This window comes from Homo sapiens, chromosome 2 (assembly GCF_000001405.40).
Source record: "Homo sapiens chromosome 2, GRCh38.p14 Primary Assembly".
In the NCBI taxonomy this organism is placed as follows: Eukaryota; Metazoa; Chordata; class Mammalia; order Primates; family Hominidae; genus Homo; species Homo sapiens.
The window spans coordinates 111,828,510-111,851,190 of NC_000002.12; the positions used below are offsets into that span (position 1 = coordinate 111,828,510).

The 22,681-nt window shown below is 39.2% G+C and overlaps 1 protein-coding gene across 9 annotated transcripts in view; it reads right to left on the bottom strand.

Moving 5' to 3' along the window:
* ANAPC1 (anaphase promoting complex subunit 1) overlaps positions 1-22,681 on the bottom strand; it is a 117,963-nt gene that overhangs the window by 62,279 nt on the left and 33,003 nt on the right. For all 9 annotated transcript variants that reach the window (XM_017004711.2, XM_017004710.3, NM_022662.4 and 6 more), the window contains 8 exons: positions 22,267-22,401; positions 19,216-19,356; positions 18,629-18,689; positions 14,903-15,090; positions 9,929-10,003; positions 6,095-6,363; positions 4,711-4,802; positions 2,777-2,925 (listed from right to left, as the gene is read on the bottom strand). In XM_017004711.2, coding sequence (XP_016860200.1) covers positions 2,777-2,925; positions 4,711-4,802; positions 6,095-6,363; positions 9,929-10,003; positions 14,903-15,090; positions 18,629-18,689; positions 19,216-19,356; positions 22,267-22,401 — 1,110 coding nt within the window. The remainder of the gene's footprint in view (positions 1-2,776; positions 2,926-4,710; positions 4,803-6,094; positions 6,364-9,928; positions 10,004-14,902; positions 15,091-18,628; positions 18,690-19,215; positions 19,357-22,266; positions 22,402-22,681) is intronic.

A 22,681-nucleotide genomic window follows, 5' to 3' on the forward strand; every position in this document is an offset into this window, starting at 1 on the left:
TATTCGCAACAGTCAAAAGGTGGAAACAACCCAAATGTCCATCATCAGGTGAAATGATAAATTGTGGTATATCCATACAATGGAATACTATATAGAATACTGCCTTTAAAACAATGTAATTTTGATACATGCTACAATATGGATGAACATTGAAAACATTATGCTAAGTGAAATAAGCCAGACACAGAGAGATAAATATTGCTTGATTCCCATAACATGAGGTACTTACAAGAGACAAATTCATAAGAAACAGAACGGAATTACCAGGGCCTGGGAGGAAGGGGAATGGGGAGTCACTATCTAATAGGTACAGAGTTTATGTTGGGGATGATGAAAAAGTCTTGGGTACGGACAGTGGTGATGGCAACATAACAATGTGAACGTATTCAACGCCACTGGATTGTACACTCAAAAATAATTTCAGGCCGGGCACAGTGGCTCACGCCTGTAACCCCTGCACTTTGGGAGGCCAAGGTGGGCAGATCACCTGATGTCAGGAGTTCAAGACCAGCCTGGCCAACATGGTGAACCCCATCTCTACTAAAAATACAAAAATTAGCCAGACTTGGTGACTAACGCCTGTAATCCCAGCTACTCGGGAGGCTGAGGCAGGAGAATCGCTTGAACCTAGGTGGCGGAGGTTGCAGTGAGCCGAGATTGTGCCACTGCACTCCAGCCTGGGCAACAGAGTGACTCCGTCTCAAGAAACAATAATAATAACAATTTCAATGACAAATATTATGTTATATATATTTTGCTATCATTAAAAAAATCCCGTGTTTTTTAAACAGAAACATCATTCTGTATGTCTGTTTTGGAGCCATGGGGGGGACTGTGAAGCACTTCTCACCATGAAGCAGAGCAAAATGTAGAGTAAAGAAAAAGAAGGGCAGGGGGCAAAGACATTTACAGTCTGCCAACATTTGAGAGAAGGGACAAAAGCATATGGTTCTCCTGCAAGCCTGGGAAGACCCCACCTGGAAAGGCCCACAAGGGGCCTATGAGCAGGCTGCTCCAGGATGGGGGGACTGAGGAACAGGTATGCCAAGAAACTTACCTTATTCACCGTTACAGCCCTATGGTTCTATATGAAGGTTTGATCTTGGACATGTATTAACCAGTAATAACAAACTAATTTCTAAAAATAAATAAATCATGAGATTTGCAGCTAGAGGTAAACAAAAAATAATAAAAATAAATAAAGAAGTGTTTCTTGAAAAAAATTTCAACAGGATTTTTCTTTGTAGCTATAGACAAGCTGATTATAAAATCAGTATGGGACGGGCACGGTGGCTCACACCTGTAATCCCAGCACTTTGGGAGGCTGAGCCAGGCGGATCACTTGAGGTTGAAAGTTCGAGACCAGCCTGGACAATATGGTGAAACCCCGTCTCTACTAAAAATACAAAAAATTAGCCGGGCATGGTGTGGGATCCTGTAATCCCAGCTATTTGGGAGGCTGAGGCAGGAGAATCGCCTGAACCCAGAAGGTGGAGGTTGCAGTGAGCTGAGATCACTCCACTGCACTCTAGCCTAGGCGACAGAGTGAGACTCTGTCTCAAAAATAAAAATAAAAATAAAATCAGTATGAAAAGGCAAGAAGAGTAATGAAGGGAGGAGTAACGCTAATCAATTTTAAAGACTTACTATAAAGCTACAGTAATTACAGCGTAGACAGCCACAAAGATCAATGAACCAGAATAGAAAGTCCAGAAACAGACACACAAGAATGTGGCCAAATTAACTTTTGACAAAAGTGCAAATGCAATAGAGAAAGGATAGTCTTTTTAAAAAACAGTGCTGAAAGAACTGGATATCCAAATGAAATAATAAAAACCTTGACTTAAAACCTGACATGTTATAAAAGATTAACAAAATGGATTAGAGATCTAAATGTAAAACATGCAAAGAAACCCAGGAGAAAATCTTCAAAACCTGAAGTTAAACAAAGAATTATTAGACATGACACTAAAAGCAACATCCATTAAAGAAAAATACAGATAAACTAGCTTCATCAAAATTAAACACTTTTGCTCTTTGATGTATTAAGAGAATGACGAGACAAGACAAGGTAGAAACCAGAAGAAAATATCTGCAAACCACATATCTGACAAAACCTCATACCTAGAACCCTGAAAACATCATTAGCCATTAGGAAAATGCAAATTAAAACCACAATGAGGTATAACTACACATCTCTCAGAAAGACAAAAATAAAAAAGAGTGACAATACCAAACACCAACAAGAATGCAGGTAAATGATCTCTTAAATATTGGTGGTAAAAATGTAAAATGGAAGAGCCACTCTGGAAAACAGATGACAGTTTCTTTAAAAACAAAATATAAACTTAACTATATGACCCATCAATCCTACTCCCAGGTACCTGTCCTAGAGAAAGCAAAACTTATGTTCACATAAAACGCTAAGCATGAATGCTGACAGCATCTATATTTACAATTGCTAAAAACTGAAATCAACCCAACTATCTTGAATGAAAAACCAACTATGGCACATTCATGCAATAAACTACTAATTAGCCATAGAATGCGATGAACTGTCGATACAGGAAACAACTTGGATAAGTCTCGAAATCATGAGAGAAATTTTTGAGGGTGATGTAAATGTTCTATATCCTCATTGTAGTAATTACATGAATCTATACACGTACTGAAATTCACAGAACTATACACAGAAAAAAACTTAATATCAGGTGTACTTTTTAAAACTAAATTTTAAAAGAAAAAGGAGATAGGTAGTAACACTCCACATACATACCAAGACTACAAGTCTGCTTCTTTCACAGATTCCAGGGAGGTAAGGATAAGGTGGCATTCCTTCACCCTTCAGACAAGAACTCACCCACTGATAAATACTTGGTGGCTCAGACGTAAAAAATGATGGATGATGCATAAATCCTGTTTGACCTTTAAAATTAGATAAATATTCAAAAAGACACGAAAATACATTAAGACAACATTATTTTATTTTAAACGGAAGATGATCAACAGTTACTTGTCATTTTGAAACAACTAGAATAATATTTTTCCAGCTGGGTGCAGTGGCTCACGCCTGTAACCCCAGTACTTTGGGAGGCCCAAGCAGGTGGATCACGAGGTCAGGAGTTAAGGACAGCCTGGCCAATATGGTGAAACCCCGTCTCTACTAAAAATACAAAAAAAAATTAGCTGGGCCTAGTGGTGCGCACCCGTAGTCCCAGCTGCTTGGGAGACTGAGGCAGAAGAATCACTTGAACCCAGGAGGTGGAGGTTGCAGTGAGCCGAGATCACGCCTAAGAGACAGAGCGAGACTCTGTCTCAAAAAAAAAAAAAAAAAAAAGAATAACGTTTTTCCATATTCTCCAAAATGCTTCATGTTTTCTGCCACAGTACATAAGGAACTATGTTATTAAATGTAGAATTTAAATGACTTCTATTTTATCCCACCCTGGATGGAAATTTAGCAAATTCTTGTTCCCAAGGCATACAAAGAATCTAACCAAAGGCTGGATGTGGTGGCTAACACCTGTAATCCCAGCCCCTTGGGAGGCTGAGTCAGGTGGATCACTTGAGGTCAGGAGTTCAAGGCCAGCCTGGCCAACATGGTGAAACCCCATCACTACTAAAAATACAAAAATTAGCCAGGCGTGGTGGCACACACCTGTAACCCCAGGCAATCCCAGGCACTTGGGAGGCTGAGGCAGGAGAATCGCTTGAGCCTGGAAGGCAGAGGATGCAGTGAGCCAAGATCGTACCACTGCACTCCCGTCTGGGCGACAGAGTGAGACCCTGTCTCAAGAAAAAAAAAAAAAAAAAAAGAAGAATCTAATCAAAAATCTTGCCCTAAACCTAAAGGTGAAAAAAACAAAAGAAACATCCAGGATTCAGGTCTGTTCCAACAACTGGGCCCCAAATTTCAGTACCTTTAGCTCAGGGTCTAGGATAGTACAGTGGTGATGGAGATGTTCTGTGTCTGTATCTGCACTGTCCAATATGGTAGCACTAGCCCCATGTGGCTACTGAGTTCTCAAAATGCGGCTAGTGCACTGAGGAAATATGTTTTATTTTAATTGAATTTAAGTAGCATATGGTTAGTGGTACTAACTGTACACTACAAGTCTAAGTTAAAAGCATCCTTGGTGGCCTGGCGCGGTGGCTCACGCCTGTAATCCCAGCACTTTGGGAGGCCGAGGCGGGTGGATCACGAGGTCAGGAGATCAAGACCATCCTGTGTAACACAGTTAAACCTCGTCTCTAATAACAATACAGAAAAATTAGCCAGGTGTGGTGGTGGGCACCTGTAGTCCCAGCTATTCAGGAGGCCAGGAGGCTGAGGCAGGAGAATGGTGTGAACCCAGGAGGCAGAGCTTGCAGTGAGCCAAGATCGCGCCACTGCACCCCAGCCTGGGTGACAGAGCGAGACTCAGTCTCAAAAAAAAAAAAAAAAAAAGCATCCTTGACCCTGGAAGCTTTCTCTGACTTTTGCAAGTCAGAACCTTAGGGATGGGTAACATTTTCCCTATACACTGAAGATATTATGGCTTACTACGTGTCAGAAAACAAGCACTACGAACTAAAATCTGCCTGGTGGAAAGGCACTGCCCCTGACTTAGAAGCTAATGGTAAGAAATACATCCTCTGCTATTCAATGAGAAAGATACAAGGAAATATCACTACACTGTTTAGAAAATATTTAAAAGCACGACTACTTACCTGGATCAATTGTGCACACTTGTCCAGTAGTTCTGACAAGCGTTGGGTAGTCTCTATAGTAATGATCTACATAAGGCCCCAATTTTAAGTCCCTAAAACAGTAAGGGCATGTAAAAAAGAAGGTATTACAGCACTTTCTCCCAACAGAATTGGAAGGATTGATTAGTTGAATCTTTTAATTTAAAAACTTACATATGAGAAAGATAACCAAATCTAGAGTCTCTCTATTGTATTTTTGGACTTTAAAGTGCCCAGTGTGACAAATGGAACCCAATCTCTTTTTGCTAAATTTTGTGGAAGTAAAACTACAGTAAAAGCACCGTGATCTAGTTCCTCCTCTGCTATTAGCTGTGTGATCTTCCAAAAGTCATGTCTATAAACCTCAGTATTTTCTTCTAGAAAATGGGGCAATACCAGCTCACTTACTCTGAAGTTTTAAAGATTAAATAAGATAAAATATGTAAAAAAAAAAAAACCTGATAAAATGTAAAACATCATACACATTACTTTTTTCAGAGAGCCATGATTATGGTTTGGAAATTACTTAATTACAAAAGAATTTTCATGACAGTAATGACATCCTAAGAGATATTTACCATTGATTAAAACTGCCATGTCTCAGGATTGAATTTCAAGATCTCAAAAAAGACAACAGAAATTAGAAAATGTACTATGTCTTAACTCAGAGGTTGACATTTCAATTCAAATTCAACTTCTTTATCACCAAAGGTCATAAAGGTCAAACAACACACAAGTATGACCCTAGAATTCTGAGCCATACACCAGGTGCTTCAAAGCTCTTGAAAGGTGTTGAAACGTATTATTAGAACTATCTTATTGTGGATCTACTATGAGTGCCTCAAAGACAGGGACAACCTCAGACTGCAACAAGGACAGCATAGCAAAATGAGTCCACAACTATCAAACACTCGCATCCCAGGAAAGACATTTAGGCAAGTTTCCTCATCACTAAAACAGGAAACTTACCTTGTTTGAGACTTTACATGTAAACTATGATTTTGTCAACTATAAAGCACTATTTGAATGTGGATATTACAAAACAGCAGATGTTATTCTAGAACTCCCACCGCAGTATAGCCAGTCAGTCATCCTGTCAAAATGAAAATCTGAGCAGGTCATCTCCATTTTTTCGTGACCTTCCACTAATCTCAGGACAAAGACTAAAAATCCCTGCATGGCTCACAGGCCCTTACAAAACCAGTATCTTCAAACAACTCTGTGGTTTACAGAGATGCCCTAGTTTTCTGAGAAGGTAGATTTCAGAAACTTATTTACAAGGTCCCTATATGATACAAGGTTCCTATATGGAAAAGACAGTCATCTCAGGACTTCCTGGCAGTTTCTAACCTACAAACAAATTTACCTTGCCAACTGAACGAGAAGTTCAACAAGTGAACAAATTCCTTCTCCCATTAGAGTATTCAACTTAAGCTCCTCATACACAAGGTGAAGAACGAAAAAAATTGCAGGTATGTGAGTAAAGAGAAGTGTAGAAGAATCCAGACTGAGATTCTGTGAAAAATCCTCATCCTTCATCTGTGAAGCTTCTGAAGGACTCAGACATAAAGATCTGTTCAAAAGATGAGACTCAACATTCTGGTGGTAGTCTGAATTTAGTAAATATTCCCAGTCCTGAGAAGAATAAAAAGAATATTAATTTTTAAAAATAATACCTCCTTATAATATCATAAGAAAATTAATTCACTTAAAACAATTCAAGTTTCATTTTCACATTAAGTTGATCTAAGAGTATGTTAAAAAAAAAAAAGACAATGCTAAGAATGAAGTAACTATAAAATAGCAAGCCAGTTATAAACGTTAAGGCAAGCCACCTTTAAAAACCATTAAAAAAAATATTTTCATGACCTTTTAGGAAAGACATTGGGAGAAGAATTATACTATTTAGGTAGAGATTGAGAGAGAAAATTTAAGATTATCTCAGGCTAGGTTTTATAGGAAAAGTAGATGGCAAGTTAGTGGCCACTACACTGAACTGTGTTTTGGTAAGAAGGAAGGTCCACCTGCATTCAGCTGGTGTATTCATCTTTCCACATGTATAAGATGCCGGGGCTAGTAATATAATCTAATAATCAACTGATTTTTATATTCAGACTGATTGGACTACATTTTCCAAATATTCAAGTCTATTTTGGTTCTACTTGTGATTTACTGCATTTGGTTCAGAGAATGTGGTTTATGCTATTTCCAGATCTTGGAATTTACTGATGTTTTTGTAAGGCTTAATACAGTGTGTTACTCTAAATTAAAAATTCTTGGACTAGATACAGAAAGAACTAACCATAAAAGAAAAAACTGGGCCGGGTGCAGTGGCTCATGCCTGTAATCCCAGCACTTTGGGAGGCCGAGGCGGGTGGATCACAAGGTCAGGAGATCACGACCTTCCTGGCTAACACGGTGGAACCCCATCACTTCTAAAAAAATACAAAAAAATTAGCCGGGTGTGGTGGCGGGCGCCTGTTAGTCCCAGCTATTGGGGAGGCTGAGGCAGGAGAATGGCATGAACCTGGGAGGCAGAGCTTGCAGTGAGCTGAGATCATGCCACTGCACTCCAGCCTGGGCAACAGAGCGAGACTCCATCTCAAAAATAAAATAAAATAAAATAAAAAACTGATAAATTGGATAACTAAAATAAAAAATTCTGCTCATCAAAGACACTGTTAAAGCCACATTCTAAGGGAAAATATGGTCAAGAACTCATGTCTAGAACATGTAAGAACTTCAACAGCTTACATATTTTTTAAAATCTAATTTACAAGTAGATAAAGATTTGAATAGAAACTTCACAAAAAGATACATAAGCAGCTAATGAGCACATGAAAGAGTGTTTAACATCCTCCAACCTCAGCCTCCAAGTAGCTAGGACTACAGGTTATGCGCCATCATGCCTGGCTAATTTTCAAATTTTTTTGGTAGACAACTGGTCTTACTATAATATGTTGTCCAGGCTGGTCTCAAACTCTTGGGCTGAAGCAGTCCTCCTGCCCCTACCCCTCAAAGTGCTGTGATTACAGGCGTGAATTTTCATTTAAAAGAAATTAAATTAAAAGAAATTAAAATTACAGATGTGAATTTTAATTTAAAAGAAATTAAATTAAATTAAAAGAAATTAAAATTCACACCTGTAATCGCAGCACTTTGAGAGATAGGGGCAGGAGGACTGCTTGAGCCCAGGAGTTTGAGACCAGCCTGGGCAACATATTATAGTAACACCTTGTCTCTACCAAAAAAATTTAAAAATTAGCCAGGCGTGATGGAGCATACCGGTAGTCCTAGCTACTTGGAGGCTGAGGTAGGAGGATGGCTTGAGCCTAGGAGTTCAAGATTACAGTCAACTACGATAGCATCACTGCAGTCCAGCGTAGGCAACAGAGTGACACCCTGTCTCTTAAAAAAAAAAAGAAAAGAAATGAAAATGTATGTCCACGGGCCCGGCATGGTGGCTCACACCTGTAATCTCAGCACTTTGGGAGGCCAACATGGGCAGATTATTGAGGCCAGGAGTTTGAGACCAGACTGACCAACATGGCAAAATCCAGTCTCTACTAAAAATACAAAAATTAGCCAGGCATGGTGGCACACACCTGTAATTCTAGCTACTGGGGAGGCTGAGGCATGAGAACTGCCTGAACTCGGGAGTCAGAGGTTGCAGTGAGCCAAGATCGTGCCACTGCACTCCAGCCTGGATGACAGAGCAAGACTCCGTCTCAAAAAAAAAAAAAGAAAATATATATCCACAAAGACTTGCCAGTGAATTTTGGCACTAGCTTGCTTTATTCATAAGACTTTAAAAAAAAAAAATGGAAATAGCCTAGATATCTACCAGCAGAAGAAGGATAGATAAACAAACCATGGTATATTCACACTACTCAGCAATAAAAAAGCACAAACTACTGGTATCTGTAACAATATGAATTAATCTCAAAAGCATTATGCTGAATAAATCTTATACCAAAGATTACATACTATATTATTTTATTTACATCAAGTTCTAGAACAGGTATAACTAAGATATGGTGACAGAATTCAGATCAGTGATTGCTAGAAGAAGAGAATAAAGCTGATTAAAAACAGCAAGAGGGGCCGGGCCCAGTGGCTCATGCCTGTAATCCCAGAACTTTGGGAGGCCGAGGTGGGCAGATCACGAGGTCACGAGTTCAAGACCAGCCTGACCAACATGGTGAAACCCCATCTCTACTAAAAATACAAAAATTGGCCAGGCGTGGTGGCGCATGCCTATAATCCCAGCTATTCAGGAGGTTGAGGCAGGAGAATAGCTTCAACCCAGGAGGTGGAGAGCCGACATCGTGCCACTGCACTCCAGCCTGGGCGATAAGGCGAGACTCCGTCTCAAAAAAAAAAAAACCACACAAGGAAATTTTATGGAGTTATAAAAATATTGTGTGTCTTTATAGGAGTGTAGGTTACATGAGTGTGCATATATTAAAACTGATCAAACTAAACCCAAGCTGTATTTCATTTTTGTAAATTACACCACAATTTAAAAAAACATATTTGGACCACTGAAGAATAATACCATGGAGGCCAGGTGTGGTGGCTCATGCCTGTAATCCCAGCACTTTGGGACACCAAGGTTAGGAAGGTCACTTGACGTCAGGAGTTCGAGACCAGCCTGGCCAACATGGTGAAACCCTGTCTCCACCAAAACTACAAAAATTAGCTGGGCATGGTGGCGGGCGCCTGTAATCCCAGCTATTCAGGAGGCTGAGGCAGGAGAACTGCTTGAACCTGGGAGGCGGAGATTGCAGTGAGCTCAGATCCTGCCACTGCACTCCATCCCGGGCAACAAGAGTGATACTCCGTCTCAAAAAAAAAAAGGAATATACCATGGAACCTGATACAATTGAGAACCTTAATTTAAAAAACACTGCATAAAAAAGGTAAATGCTGTCATTTCAGGTGATCAGTTGATACTAAAATGTCTACAAACCCAAACTGAAATCATGCAGTAATACATGTATTAATTTTTAGATAATCATTAAAGACCACAGAAAATGTAACAGATCCTACTCTTCAAAATAATTGCTATTCAGTATTAAAATAAATAAAGTGAAAGGTGTTGGAAAGATAGAGGAATTGATAGGAATACCACAGAAGTGGAAGAATAGTATGAATATCCATAAATTAATTTATATTAGCAAGAAATAATAATGCTTACATCATCAGATCCAGTCTCGGAAGGCCTTGCTTTTTTGGGCGCAATGACAGGAGAAAGTGATCCTTCAAAGTCAAACTGAAAAGTAACCCCAAAAGAAAAGATAAAAATCGTAAATGCATTCCTGTCAACTGATCAACTTCAAGGATTCAGAAATCAGTTCTGCCAATTACGAAAACTGAGAAAAGCCATCAAAACTCATTTTTTGATCTGGAAAGGCATTATTTAAATATCTTTCTTCCAGGTTACTGTAAAGATGAAATGAAATCATATTAATATATGCAAACATCTAGAACAGTGCCTGGGCTTCTAAGGACTGATTTTAATGGTAGTTTCCTTCCCTCTCCTACTCCTGTAACAACATAGATTACATCACATCTTTGGTAGAAAAAGAAACTTTAGGCATATCCACAATATACCAAGTCTCAAAGGATCAACCCAATATCAGTCAAATGTTAGAACTAAGCAAACATTTATTTACAGTCCACCTACAGTAAACTATCTAACAATTCTATGGCAGAGACAAGTAGCTACTCTGGAAAATCTTTTTTCTCCTCTTTCTCCTGAACCCACAGCCAGACTACATACATACGTCTGCCTCCTTTGAAGTTAGGTGTGACCCTTTGACAGAGTTAATTATAAATGGAAGTCACTGTCATCACTTCCAGGACCAGTCCAGTCCTACCCCTGCTCCTCCAGGCTCTTTGCCCCTTCCACCTGACTGGAATGCAGTCAACCAATGGCAATCTTTGAACCAAAGATAAAAGATCCTCCATCAACCTGGGTTCCTGAATAACTGTGTGGCCTGTTTATCTGCTAAGCCCTGTTATGTAAGCAAGACAGACATTTTTATTGTGTTTGAGCCATTGTATCTTTTGAGGCCTTTCTATTACAATAGTGAGCCTATCTTCTAACTAATACAACTACATAAAAGCAGTTTTCTACAAGTTGCTCTTCTTCAATTTCCCCTGGCATAATCTTTGCTGCCCCAGCTACTTCACATGGGCATTGACCATCAACTAATAAACTGTAACTCTATAAATGGCAATGGCTATTTTCCTATGCTGAAAAACTTACATATTTATCAACTCACTCACCTAAACAGAGTTGATTTCTATATAAAAACTAAACATAGGTAGCAATAAAGTGATATTTAAAACTGAATGTTATTGAGAGAGAAGATCTGCTTGTGAAGCGTTCAAATAAAAAACAGCCCAACTCATATATATTATAAAAAACCTGGTAGTAACAGTGAAATCAAAGCAACAAATATAACAGTAACTATCTAACCTAAAACTTCAACCAAAATGTAACACACACAAACTCCCACAGTCAAAAAGAATGTCCCTGCTATAATTATCAGATTCATAAGGCCTGGAGTTATGAGAAAGTAGAAACTGCCTGATAAGGATGGCTCTTTGTGCCATACATGGATCTGTTTAATCTTCACTCTTTCAATGTGTCTCAGGTTAGCCAACCCTGTTATATGCTCCTATGGACCCTTACCCTTCATCTATCATAACACATTTATCAAATATTATTTATTTGTTTCCCCCAAGACAGTCAATTCCAGAGGAACAATCTGTTTTGTCTGGGGTATATGTGAGAAACCTGGCATCATGCCTGGCCCACAGCAGGGATTCAATATTTATCTAAGGAAAAAAACAGCAGCCCGGAAGCCACAAAAAGTTAACCCCAAATGCAACTGTTCCTACAATGTACAGTCCAGTGCACTCATGTAACACATCAGCAAATTAAAGAAAGCACAAAGAAATGCCAAAAATTGTGTAACGAGTCATTGGCAGAAATTCTGTACTCCACCACATTACATATGTGAAAACAAAAAGAATAAATCTGAACAAAGCAAAATGAAAACCATTTGCCAATGAGGACCATTTTATCCTAAGCTTTGACTATGAGGACAAAAGATAACAAGGGTTTAACCATGCAGTCCTATAAATAAATAGCAAAGCAACTTGGCCTCAAGAATTGATTTCCTTATTCCTTCCTTTATAATTATCATGCAATAAGTAAGTCAAAAAGCCATGTCCTTCTCTGCAAAGGAAAAAATGGGTAGGTGCTCAGTCCTCCCCAAAACATGGAAACGCGAAGGGGCATAGGTTCTCTGCCAGAGACTAGGACACAACAATCTGTACTCATCAACAAGTTACAAGGACAATGATACACAAAACTACAGAAAGCTGACGCGTTTTTTCATAATGTAGAAATCCAGTTTCTATGAGGCTTAATCTTTTCACATGTAATAAAGAACAGAAAAATTGGGGATAATGTCACTCGGATACAATTGTTTAAAATAAGAAAAGAAGGCCAGGAGCCGTGGTTCACACCTGTAATCCTAGCACTTTGGGAGGCCAAGGTGGGAGGATCACTTGAGCTCAGGAGTTTAAAACCATCATAGCCGACACGGCAAAACCCCGTCTCTACTAAAAATAAAGAAATTAGCCAGGCGTGGAGGTACATGCCTGTAATCCCAGCTACTCAGGAGGCTGAGGCACAAGAATCGCTTCAACTTAGGAGGCAGAGGTTGTAGTGAGCCAGGATAGCGCCACTGCATTCCAGCCTAGACGACAGAGCGAAACCCCGTCTTAAAAAAGGAAAGAAAAGAAAATTGTCCCTATTTTCCCATAAGATTTCTCTCAAGGAAATTGCAGAGAGCAATTCCTTCATGTGCTGAAATAGACACAAACTCTTAAAAACAGTATCTCACTCAGATGGAAAATGGCATTCACTCAACAAATGTTCACTGAGTATCCTTCTATGCCAGGCAATACCACAGGTCCTGGAGAGAGAGAGTAGTAAACAAAACTAAGCAAAAATCTTTGCCTTCCTAGAATTTACATTCCAGTTGGGGGAGGAAGGACACAAAACAAAATAAGTAAAACATATAGTATATTATATTTAATTAAGTGAGAAGAAAAAAAAACAGGTAAATGGCACTAAAGGTATGGAGGCAGGTGTAATTCTATAGAGACAGGACAGGCAGCACTGAGGTGACATCTGAATAAAGACCTAAGCACGTCTTGTCGGAGGGAAAGCATTCTCCATAGAGGTAATGGCAAGTGCAAACACTCAGAGGCAGAAACATGCTGGCAGTGCTCAGGGAACAGAGCTGAGGCCAATGTGGCTGGGATGATGTGTGCAAAGCATTAAGAAATAAGAGCAGGAAGGTGAGCAAGGGCTAGGTCACATGGCATCTTATAAGCCTATGGCCTTTACTCTGAGTGACATGGGAAGTCACTGGGGGATTCTACGCAGAGGCGTGACGAACGCAACCTGACGTTATCAAACAGGATTACTGTGGCCACTGGACTGAGAAGAGACTGGAACATAGACAAAGGACATGAAATACGAATCAAAAAATAAGAACTATAAATAACTGATGAAATTTTGAAAAAAACATTCCCATTTACTTATAGAGAAATAAGATAAAATTTCTCAGGAAGCTGGCAAAGGTTCACCACACCACAAATAAACACTGTGGTGAAATGGGCGCTTTTAAATGATGCTAGTAAGAATGTCACCTGGGAACCCCTTTCCAAACATTACTTGACCTCACAGTTTCTCTTTTAAGATTCAATGCTTGGGAAGTAACTAGAGATGTGGTTAAAGAGTCGTGAAAAAGGATGTTTATAAATTACAATAACGAAAACAACAGATTCACAAGGTACAATTATTAGCTATTGGTTAACTATGATAAAACTACACTATGAAGAAATGATGGAGATATTTTAGAAAAAATTTTTAATGATACGGGAAATTTTCATTGGTATTTTTATATAGAAGGTAACATCAAAAATATTTAGAGTGGTTATCTCTAAGTAGTATAATTATTTTCTTAATTCCTCCATTTTCCACATTTTCCTTTCATAATTAAGACAAAAAACAAATTTTAAAAATGGATTTGCTGGCCAGGCGCAGTGGCTCACGCCTGTAATTCCAGCACTTTGGGAGGCTGAGACGGGCAGATCATGAGGTCAGGAGATCAAGACCATCCTGGCTAACACGGTGAAACCCCGTCTCTACTAAAAATACAAAAAATCAGCCAGGCGTGGTGGCGGGCGCCTGTAGTCCTGGCTACTCGGGAGGCTGAGGCAGGAAAATGGCGTGAACCCAGGAGGCAGAGCCTGTAGTGAGCTGAGATTGCGCCATTGCACTCCAGCCTGGGCGACAGAGCGACATTCTGTCTCAAAAAAAAAAAAAAAAAAATGGATTTGCTGTGCAAGGCTAAAACATATAGAATGGTACAGCTGAGCTACCTGGAAAAGGGGTAATTATAATCTAGAGTGATTTTTTTTCAGAGTGACCCAGGCAAAGTTGTCCTGGGAGTGATCTCCAAAGCTAGAAGGAGATCACCAATACTGAAGACACCACTCTGCTGATTTTGTAAATAATCTAATAAGGGCCTGTAAGGATGTTACTGCAGGAAGAGGGTGAGAGGTAAGGCTTTATACCATTAACAGAGTAGATACTCAGGCTAAAGTACTTTAAATCTCCCTCAAATCAAACCTTCCTCTTCACATCCCAAGCAATATGTGTGTAAAAAGACAATCTTGTCTTCAGAAAACAATGTTAAACAAGGAGTCAGAAGATGCAGTCTAGTCATAGTTGTTAAAAAACCACAGATCTGTGATTTCTTTGTGATCCAGTTTCTTCATCAATAAAACCAAGACTATCACTAATCCTAGCATAACTTGCAGTCATTTTACAAAGGTGAAATGAGAAATAGTCATATATGCTTTAACATTCTAAAGCTCAGTAATTATAATCACTAGTAAAATGTTAATATTAAATATTAAGTGAGATTTTATTTACAATATATAGATACAATAAACCTTAATATTATTCTATTATTTTGAATATGGTACGCCTATTATGTAGTCTCAATGTTATATTACCAATTATGCAACCATTACATTAACAGAATAACTCATAAAGAAAACAATAGTATTTACTTACATTTCTAGTCCATGCTAAGCGGTCTGTGTTATAACCCATCATGTTCATGAGACAAGTCACAAATAAATTCCACTCTGAGTGATAACTGGGTCCTCCTGGAGCACTGTGGACATTGTACCACTTGACAAGCATCTGAACTGCTATTTCTTTTGGCAGGATAAACTTAATTGCTTGCAAACACGTTTGTACTATTAAAAGCAAAGATTAATTTTAGTATTCTTACTCTGCATGCATTTCTTTTCCCCTTTCAATCACCAAGTTTTTTAACTTCTACTATGTAAAGGCCAATTATTATGAAAAGAAAACTGTCATTAAAGAGCCAATGAGATGCAAACATTACCTAACCAATCATCTGAAACTAAAACCAACTACTGAATTCAACAAGGCTTGAAAGGGGTCTGAAGACAGCTTTTTTTTTTTTTTTTTTTTTTGAGAGGGTGTCTCGCTCTGTTGCCCAGGCTGGAGTGCTGTGGCACGGTCTTGGCACACTGCAACTTCTGCCTCCTGAGTTCAAGCGATTCTCCTACCTCAGCCACCAAGTAGCTGGGATTACAGGCGTCTGCCACTGCCCCAGGCTAATTTTTGTATTTTTAGTAGAGACCATGTTTCACCATGTTGGCCAGGCTAGTCTCAAACTCCTGACCTCATGATCCACCCGCCTTGGCCTCCCAAAGCACTGGGATTACAGGTGTGAGCCACTGTGCCCGGCCAAGGACAGCTTTTTGATCATTAATTTTGCATCAGAAATAAAGTAATCAAATAGCCCAGTTTGCCAGAGACAGTCCTGATTTACATCCATTGCCCAGCAATTACTAACTGCTCGCCTTCACTCTTAAAGATGTTCTAGCTCGGGTGACAAATTAAAAGTCACTATGGGCCAGGCATGGTGACTCACGCCTGTAATCTAAGCACTTTGCGAGGTCAAGGCGGGTGGATCACCTGAGGTCAGGAGTTCGAAACCAGCCTGACCAACATGGTGAAACCCCATTTCTACTAAAAATACAAAAATTAGTTGGGCATTGTGGCAGGCACCTGTAATCCCAGCTACTCAGGAGGCTGAGGCAGGAGAATCGCCTGAACCCGGGAGGCAGAGGTTGCAGTGAGCCAAGATCACGCCATTGCATTTCAGCCTGGATGACTAGAGCGAAACTCTGTCTCAAAAAAAAAAAAAAAAGTCACTATGAAAAACATACAACTTCTATGTTTATACATTTATATAAAATACTGCCTACATACTTCAGTAAATATATAATATTCAATATATGCATCCACGAATAGCAATGCTTAGCTAGCATTACATGATGTTCTAAATGAGTTAACATGCCTATTAACCAAAGCTTTATAACTTTATTTCTGAGGTCGTTCAGTTTCTAAAATGTTTCACAGGCTCTCTGTCTTAAAAGGGTTAAGAGTTAATACCACATAATTTACACCATTCTTTTTTTGGTAAGGGGAAACAGGGTCTTCCTCTGTCCCCAGGCTGGAGTGCAGTGGTGCAATTATAGCTCACTGTCACCTCCAACTCCTGGACTCAAGTGGTCCACCAGCTCAAGCTTCCCAAGTAGCAAGGACTACAGATGCATGCCAGCATGCCTGGCTAATTTTATTTTTCTTTTTGTAGAGACAGAGTCTCACTATGTTGTCCAAGCTGGTCTCAAATTCCTGGCCTCAAGCAACCCCCTCACCTCAGCCTTCCAAAGGGAGGGGATTACAAGCATGAGCCCACCACACCTGGCCTTATACCATTCTCAATGGCTCCACATCAATTATAGCACTACACTGTCATACAATGATCCCCTCAGAGTGGCCAGGGCTACCACTGTGAAGAGACCCAAATCTGCTTTTAGTAGTAAATAATCCCAAACTGCAATGTTTGTGTACTCACATATCCTCTCTTCCAGGATTCTTTTTTCCCTTTCCACTGTCATGCCACTGGGCCCACCCTCATCAACATATCCTCTATCCCATCAGTTTGCAATGTGCAAACTCACACAGCACAGGTTGGAAGCAAATAATATTAAAATACCAAATAACCAAGTATGTCATAGTGGAATCCAAAATAAGTGTAAACCCAATGCTGCATGAGTGTGTGAGAACCCTCTGCAGGTAAAGTACATAAACTTATGTGCATAAACTATGGGGCTTCTGTTTGGCTATAAAGGGGTAAGATTTTTTGTTTTCATTTATTTAATTTATTCCATTATTATTTGTTTTTATATATTTTGCTTAGGCTTATAATAGTTCGAGGTACCTGGCCTTGTGATTACGAAATACCTTTTAGAGCCGGGCGCGGTGGCTCACGCCTGTAATCCCAGCACTTTGGGAGGCCGAGGCAGGTGAATCACGAGGTCAGGAGATCGAGACTATCCTGGCTAACACAGTGAAACCCCGTCTCTACTAAAAATACAAAAAAATTAGCCGGGCGTGGTGGCGGGCACCTGTAGTCCCAGCTACTCGGGAGGCTGAGGCAGGAGAATGGCATGAACCCGGGAGGCGGAGCTTGCAGTGAGCCGAGTTTGCGCCACTGCACTCCAGAACCTGGGCGACAGAGCGAGACTCCGTCTCAAAAAAAAAAAAAAAAAAAATACCTTTTAGAAGGCAAGGAATCTCTATATCAACTTGGAATACCATTTACCAGCAGTGAAAATTCCTAAAATGAAAAAGTCATTCTTGTCTACAATCTGCCAATGTCCTGCTTTGGCAGTTAGATTTGAAACCAAGATATGTCATGAACTTCCTTATATCATACAGGCATTCTTTTCTTAACCTACGTTTGTTGGCAAATCCCTTCAATTCTAACATTTTGTTTACTATGCTATGTTCAGAAATATTCTCCTCAAGCATTTTTGAAATTGCATCTCAGGAATAATTCAAGCAGAATCCAATATTTATTAAGATAATTCTGATTGTATTTTGACAATAATATTAAGTTTTATTCAATTAAGGCAATTAGGTTACTTTCACAATTTATCTGAAAATTGAGATATTTATTTTAAAATTAAAAACATCATTAATACATTACAGAAAAAAAAACATTAAATATGCCAAGAATTATCTTAGTTGCTTAAGCTTCCAGTTTCCCAGATGTTCTTGCAAGAGGCATGTCCATATATATACATATACATATATATATATATATATATATATATTTTTTTTTTTTTTTTTTTTTTTTTTTTGAGACAGAGTCTCACTCTATCACCTAGGCTGGAGTGCAGTGGCACGATCTCCACTCACTGCAACCTCCGCATTCTGGGTTCAAGCGATTCTCCTGCTTCAGACTCCCAAGTAGCTGAGATTACAGAAGTGCGCCACCACACCCCGCTGATTTTTGTATTTTTAGTAGAGAAAGGGTTTCACCATGTTGGCCAGGCTAGTCTCAAACTACCGACCTCAAGCGATCCACCCGCCTCAGTCTCACAAAGTGTTGGGATTACAGGTGTGAGCCACCATGCCCAGCAGGCATGTCCATATATTATTATACTGCACAATATTCCCCAACAGAAGAACCTCAGGGAACAGAACTAGCACATCCTTCACCTGTACTCCAGCCTTAGAGCGCACGTAGAGTGGACATCACAAAGCACTCCCTAGCTCTTTAAAGCTCCTCTACAAAGCTAAGAACTTGATCCAGTGGCTTCAAAAATGGCAAAATAATGTTTAAAACCCCAATTATTAATGTAAATCACAATTACTTCATGTCTTATAAATGAAACTTCTCAATCGTACCTAACTCAGAGGTGGCAATTTCAGGAATAGTGATCCTAACCATGGAGCCATTACTCAGTTCCTAGATGGAAACAAATGAGAAAGTAGATAAAATCTGTGCATTCTAAGTCTTTGAATGTCTTAAAAATAGCTGGTACAAGACTTTGCCCATCAAAGCAATAAAATAAATGAAAAACAATTTTCAAACAGAAATGAACACTTCCGAATTTCAGAAACTTTAAATGTAATTATTTGCAAAATGTTTTCCAAAATGCTTGTTTTAATAAAAAGTGTCTAATCTTTATACAGTGAGTCACCATCATCAAAAGGACATTTACTTTTAATGAGAAGACAAAAAATCACATCAATATACAATTCAACTGACTCAACAAGCTTTTGTTTTCACTAAGTTTTTAATAATACAGAAACTGTAGAAAACAAGCAGAATTACTGTATAGTAAAAAGTAAAATCGTGCCAAAAAATGACACAATAGATTTTTTTAAATCATGAGAAATGTTTGTTGTCATTTTTCAGACAAAATTCTGTATTCTGTCAAATTTGAAATGCCAGCCCACTTCTTGGAAAGCTACCAAATGTTTATACTTACCAGGGTGACTCTGTTATGGACAGGATCTCTGATAGAATGAATGTAAGTTCCAAGCTGTTGGAAAGTACAATCCTCATTATAGAGAGAATCATGAAGTTTTGAAGAATCCCTCAGTTCTGGAACTGGGGACAACAGAACAACCTGTAAAAAGTTGTAAATACGATACAAATGAATTGTTTTCTGAGAAATTAAGGACAAGGAAATTTAACTGTTTCTTTTTTGCATATGGTCTAACAAACAATAATATGTAATGATTCAAAAACATTCTGCTCCAAGCCAAGCATGGTGGTGCACACCTGTATAGTCCCAGCTACTCAGAAGACTGAGACAGGAGAATCACTTAAGCCTAGGAATTTGAGGCTGTAGTGAGCCTGTGAATAGTCACTGCCCTCCAGCCTGGATGACACGGCAAGACCCAGGCTCTTTAAAACATTTTGTTCCAGATACAATGAAGTACCAGCAAACCAAGGTCCTCACAGAAAACAACTAGAAAAGGTAGGTAAAAGGAAAACATCTGATTGGTGGCTATGGAAAAGCTGTGGAAGCAACCTGGACTTGAGGGACCAAGATCTAGGAGAGAAGGCAACTGCAGGGAAAGGGGCCAACGTTCTTGGAGAGCCTTGCTTTTTCTGCTCTGGCCATCTGCAAATTTTGGTGGTAAGAGGAACATATGGAAAGGCTGACAATATGCAAGGAAAGTCATAGCTAAGAGGGAGAGAAGCCAGCAGCACTGTTAGCAACCTTACAGGGCTAAAGACTAAACTGTGAGCCGGGGCACGCGGTGGCTCATGCCTATAATCCCAGCACCTTGGGAGGCTGAGGCGGGTGGATCACTTGAGGTCAAGAGTTCAAGACCAGCCTGGCCAACATGGTGAAACCCCATCTCTACTAAAAATACAAAAATTAGCCAGGTGTGGTGGCGGGTGCCTGTAGTCCCAGCTATTTGGGAGGCTGAGGCAGAAGAATCGCTTGAACCCAGGAGGTGGAGGTTGCAGTACGGTGAGATTGCCCCACTGTACTCCAGCCTAGATGACAGGGCAAGACTCCATCTCAAAAAAAAAAAAAAGACTAAACTGTGATTTGAGGCAGCTGAGGAACTAAGAGCCCAGGAAGAAAGGACAGTAATGAAAAAGCCAACAAATGAGACCAGTATTTAATGGTATTTCCCCTATAGGCAATTATTTATTCAAAAATACAGGAACAGTATTTATTTGCTTAACTGCAGATATGCAAACAAAAAATTTAAACGATCTTAGTTACTATCTACATGCAGATGCTTCCAATCTTAAACTCTAGTCATGACCACTGATCCTTTTTGATTCCTTTAATTCAATTTATATATCTCTAAGTGAATATCTTGTCAACACTGACAATCAAGACTAAGATGTATTTACTCTATTCCAGATTCTACTCTAAAAGTCACCAGGAAAAATTCAGCTCCGCTGGTCCTGGCTCTAAGTCTACTAGCAAAATCTTCCAGAGAAGTGGAAAAGCCATCAATCAGCCAATGTGTTAAGACTATCATTTCCATGACTTTACACCTATCAAAAAGGCACTATTACCAGGCTTATAGAATTCTAAAAAAGTTGGAAACCATTTTCCATTATAAAAGAAATTCTTCCAAATCACACAGAACACTCTGACACTTCTCCAGTTCCCCCTTTGAATGTTCTGCAAATGTGCTGGTTTGAAGGAAAAAAAATTCAATGTGGCACATGTTTAAAAATATAATGAAGACACAGACATTATCAAATACAACTGATAGCACTAACCTTCCCTTTGAACCGTCCCTAAACATCCACACTCACATGTCCTTTAAATACAAACCACTTTTCTCCAGGCTTCCTAACTTGGTAAATCCAGGTACCTTCCCAGGTCATTCAGAGAATTCGGAGCCTCGTTCCACATCACCTTTCCCCAGCCCAGCAGCACAAAACCAATCAGCTGACAAACTCATTTCCACCTCTCAAGGCCTCTCATATTAATCCCTCCTTTCCACACATATACTGCCCTAGCTCAGACCCTCTTCATACTTCTTAAACTGACACAGACAACCTCACTTGGAGGCTAACCGGTCTCCTTATCTTTAATCCCAAAATACACCTATTTACAACACAGATCCAAAACCTCATAACTCCTTTCTCAAAATCCTGTAATGCCCTGTCAATTGCATTCAGAATAAAACCACCTTTTTATCCTTTCTGCCTTTAAGAGCACATTAGTAAGAGTGTAAATCCCAGTTCTACCACTTATTAGGTTTATTTCATTTGTAACTTCTATCTCATTTGTAAAAAAAAGAATCATAGTACTATCTTCTCAATAAAGCTATTCTAAGGAAATAATTAATACTAATAAAGCACTGAGAACAATGCCTAGCACATAGAAAATGCTCAAAAAAGGTTATTATTGTTATCCAAACCCTATCCTGCCTCACCCTACAGACTACTTGTACTTTTATAAGTATTTATTCTACAGATTTATTGAGTCCTTATGACTAGGAGATGAAGATACAAATATCCACTAAAAAATGTTCCACATTATCTGGCCTTCCTGCCTGTGCCTGTGTGGTTTCTCCTTGCCCTGAATGCTCCTTTCTACCTACAGATATCCTACTCAACCCCAAGGTCCAAACGAAGACTGACATGTCTCTCAGTGAGGCTTTGATTTTGCCATGTCCTCCCATTGGATGTTATCTTCCCATCGGATGTTATCTTCCCATCAGTCAATCAACGATGGTACTCTCTTTTCCACATTACTGAGTCATGAGTCTTTCTTAAATTCTAATTTCTTATGCAGACAGTACATCAACTCCACACAATTGTGAGATCCCTAGATGGAAAAGAATGTATCATTTCCATCTCTCCAGCACCTTCAAAAAGTATCACATACATCACAAGGGAGGTCAGTGTATGTTAACTGAATCACTTCTGTTTGAAAACATTTATTCTGCAAGTAGAAACTAAAATTAAGTTAACCATGGAAAGAACTAATGTTTAACCAAACTTCTTTAAAAAATGTTAACTTTTTGGCAACACCTAGTCCTTTTCTTACCTCGTCCAATGATCCAAGGAGTTTACTAAGAGGCTTTGGAGTACTAACGCCATCTAGTGGAGTACTGGGCCGAGGCATTGTGTTGGACATCGTCAGAGAGGGAGCTGGCAGTCCAGGAATAAAAACCTTTCCCACCTTTAAGCAATAAAAACATGTGGAAAAAAAAATATTGCCTTTAATGCATCATATCCTTAAATAAAATGTTAAGGAATATAAACATATATTTCTTTTGATATTTCTAAGTTTATACTCACCAAACACAGCAAAGAAACAATTCAAATGTCAATAATCTATCCAATTCCACTATCCAACTGCAAATATGTTGGTATAATTTTTTTTTTTTTTGAGATAAGATCTCACTCTTTTCCCGTGGGTGGAGTACAGTGGCATGATCTCAGCTCACTGCAGCCTCAAC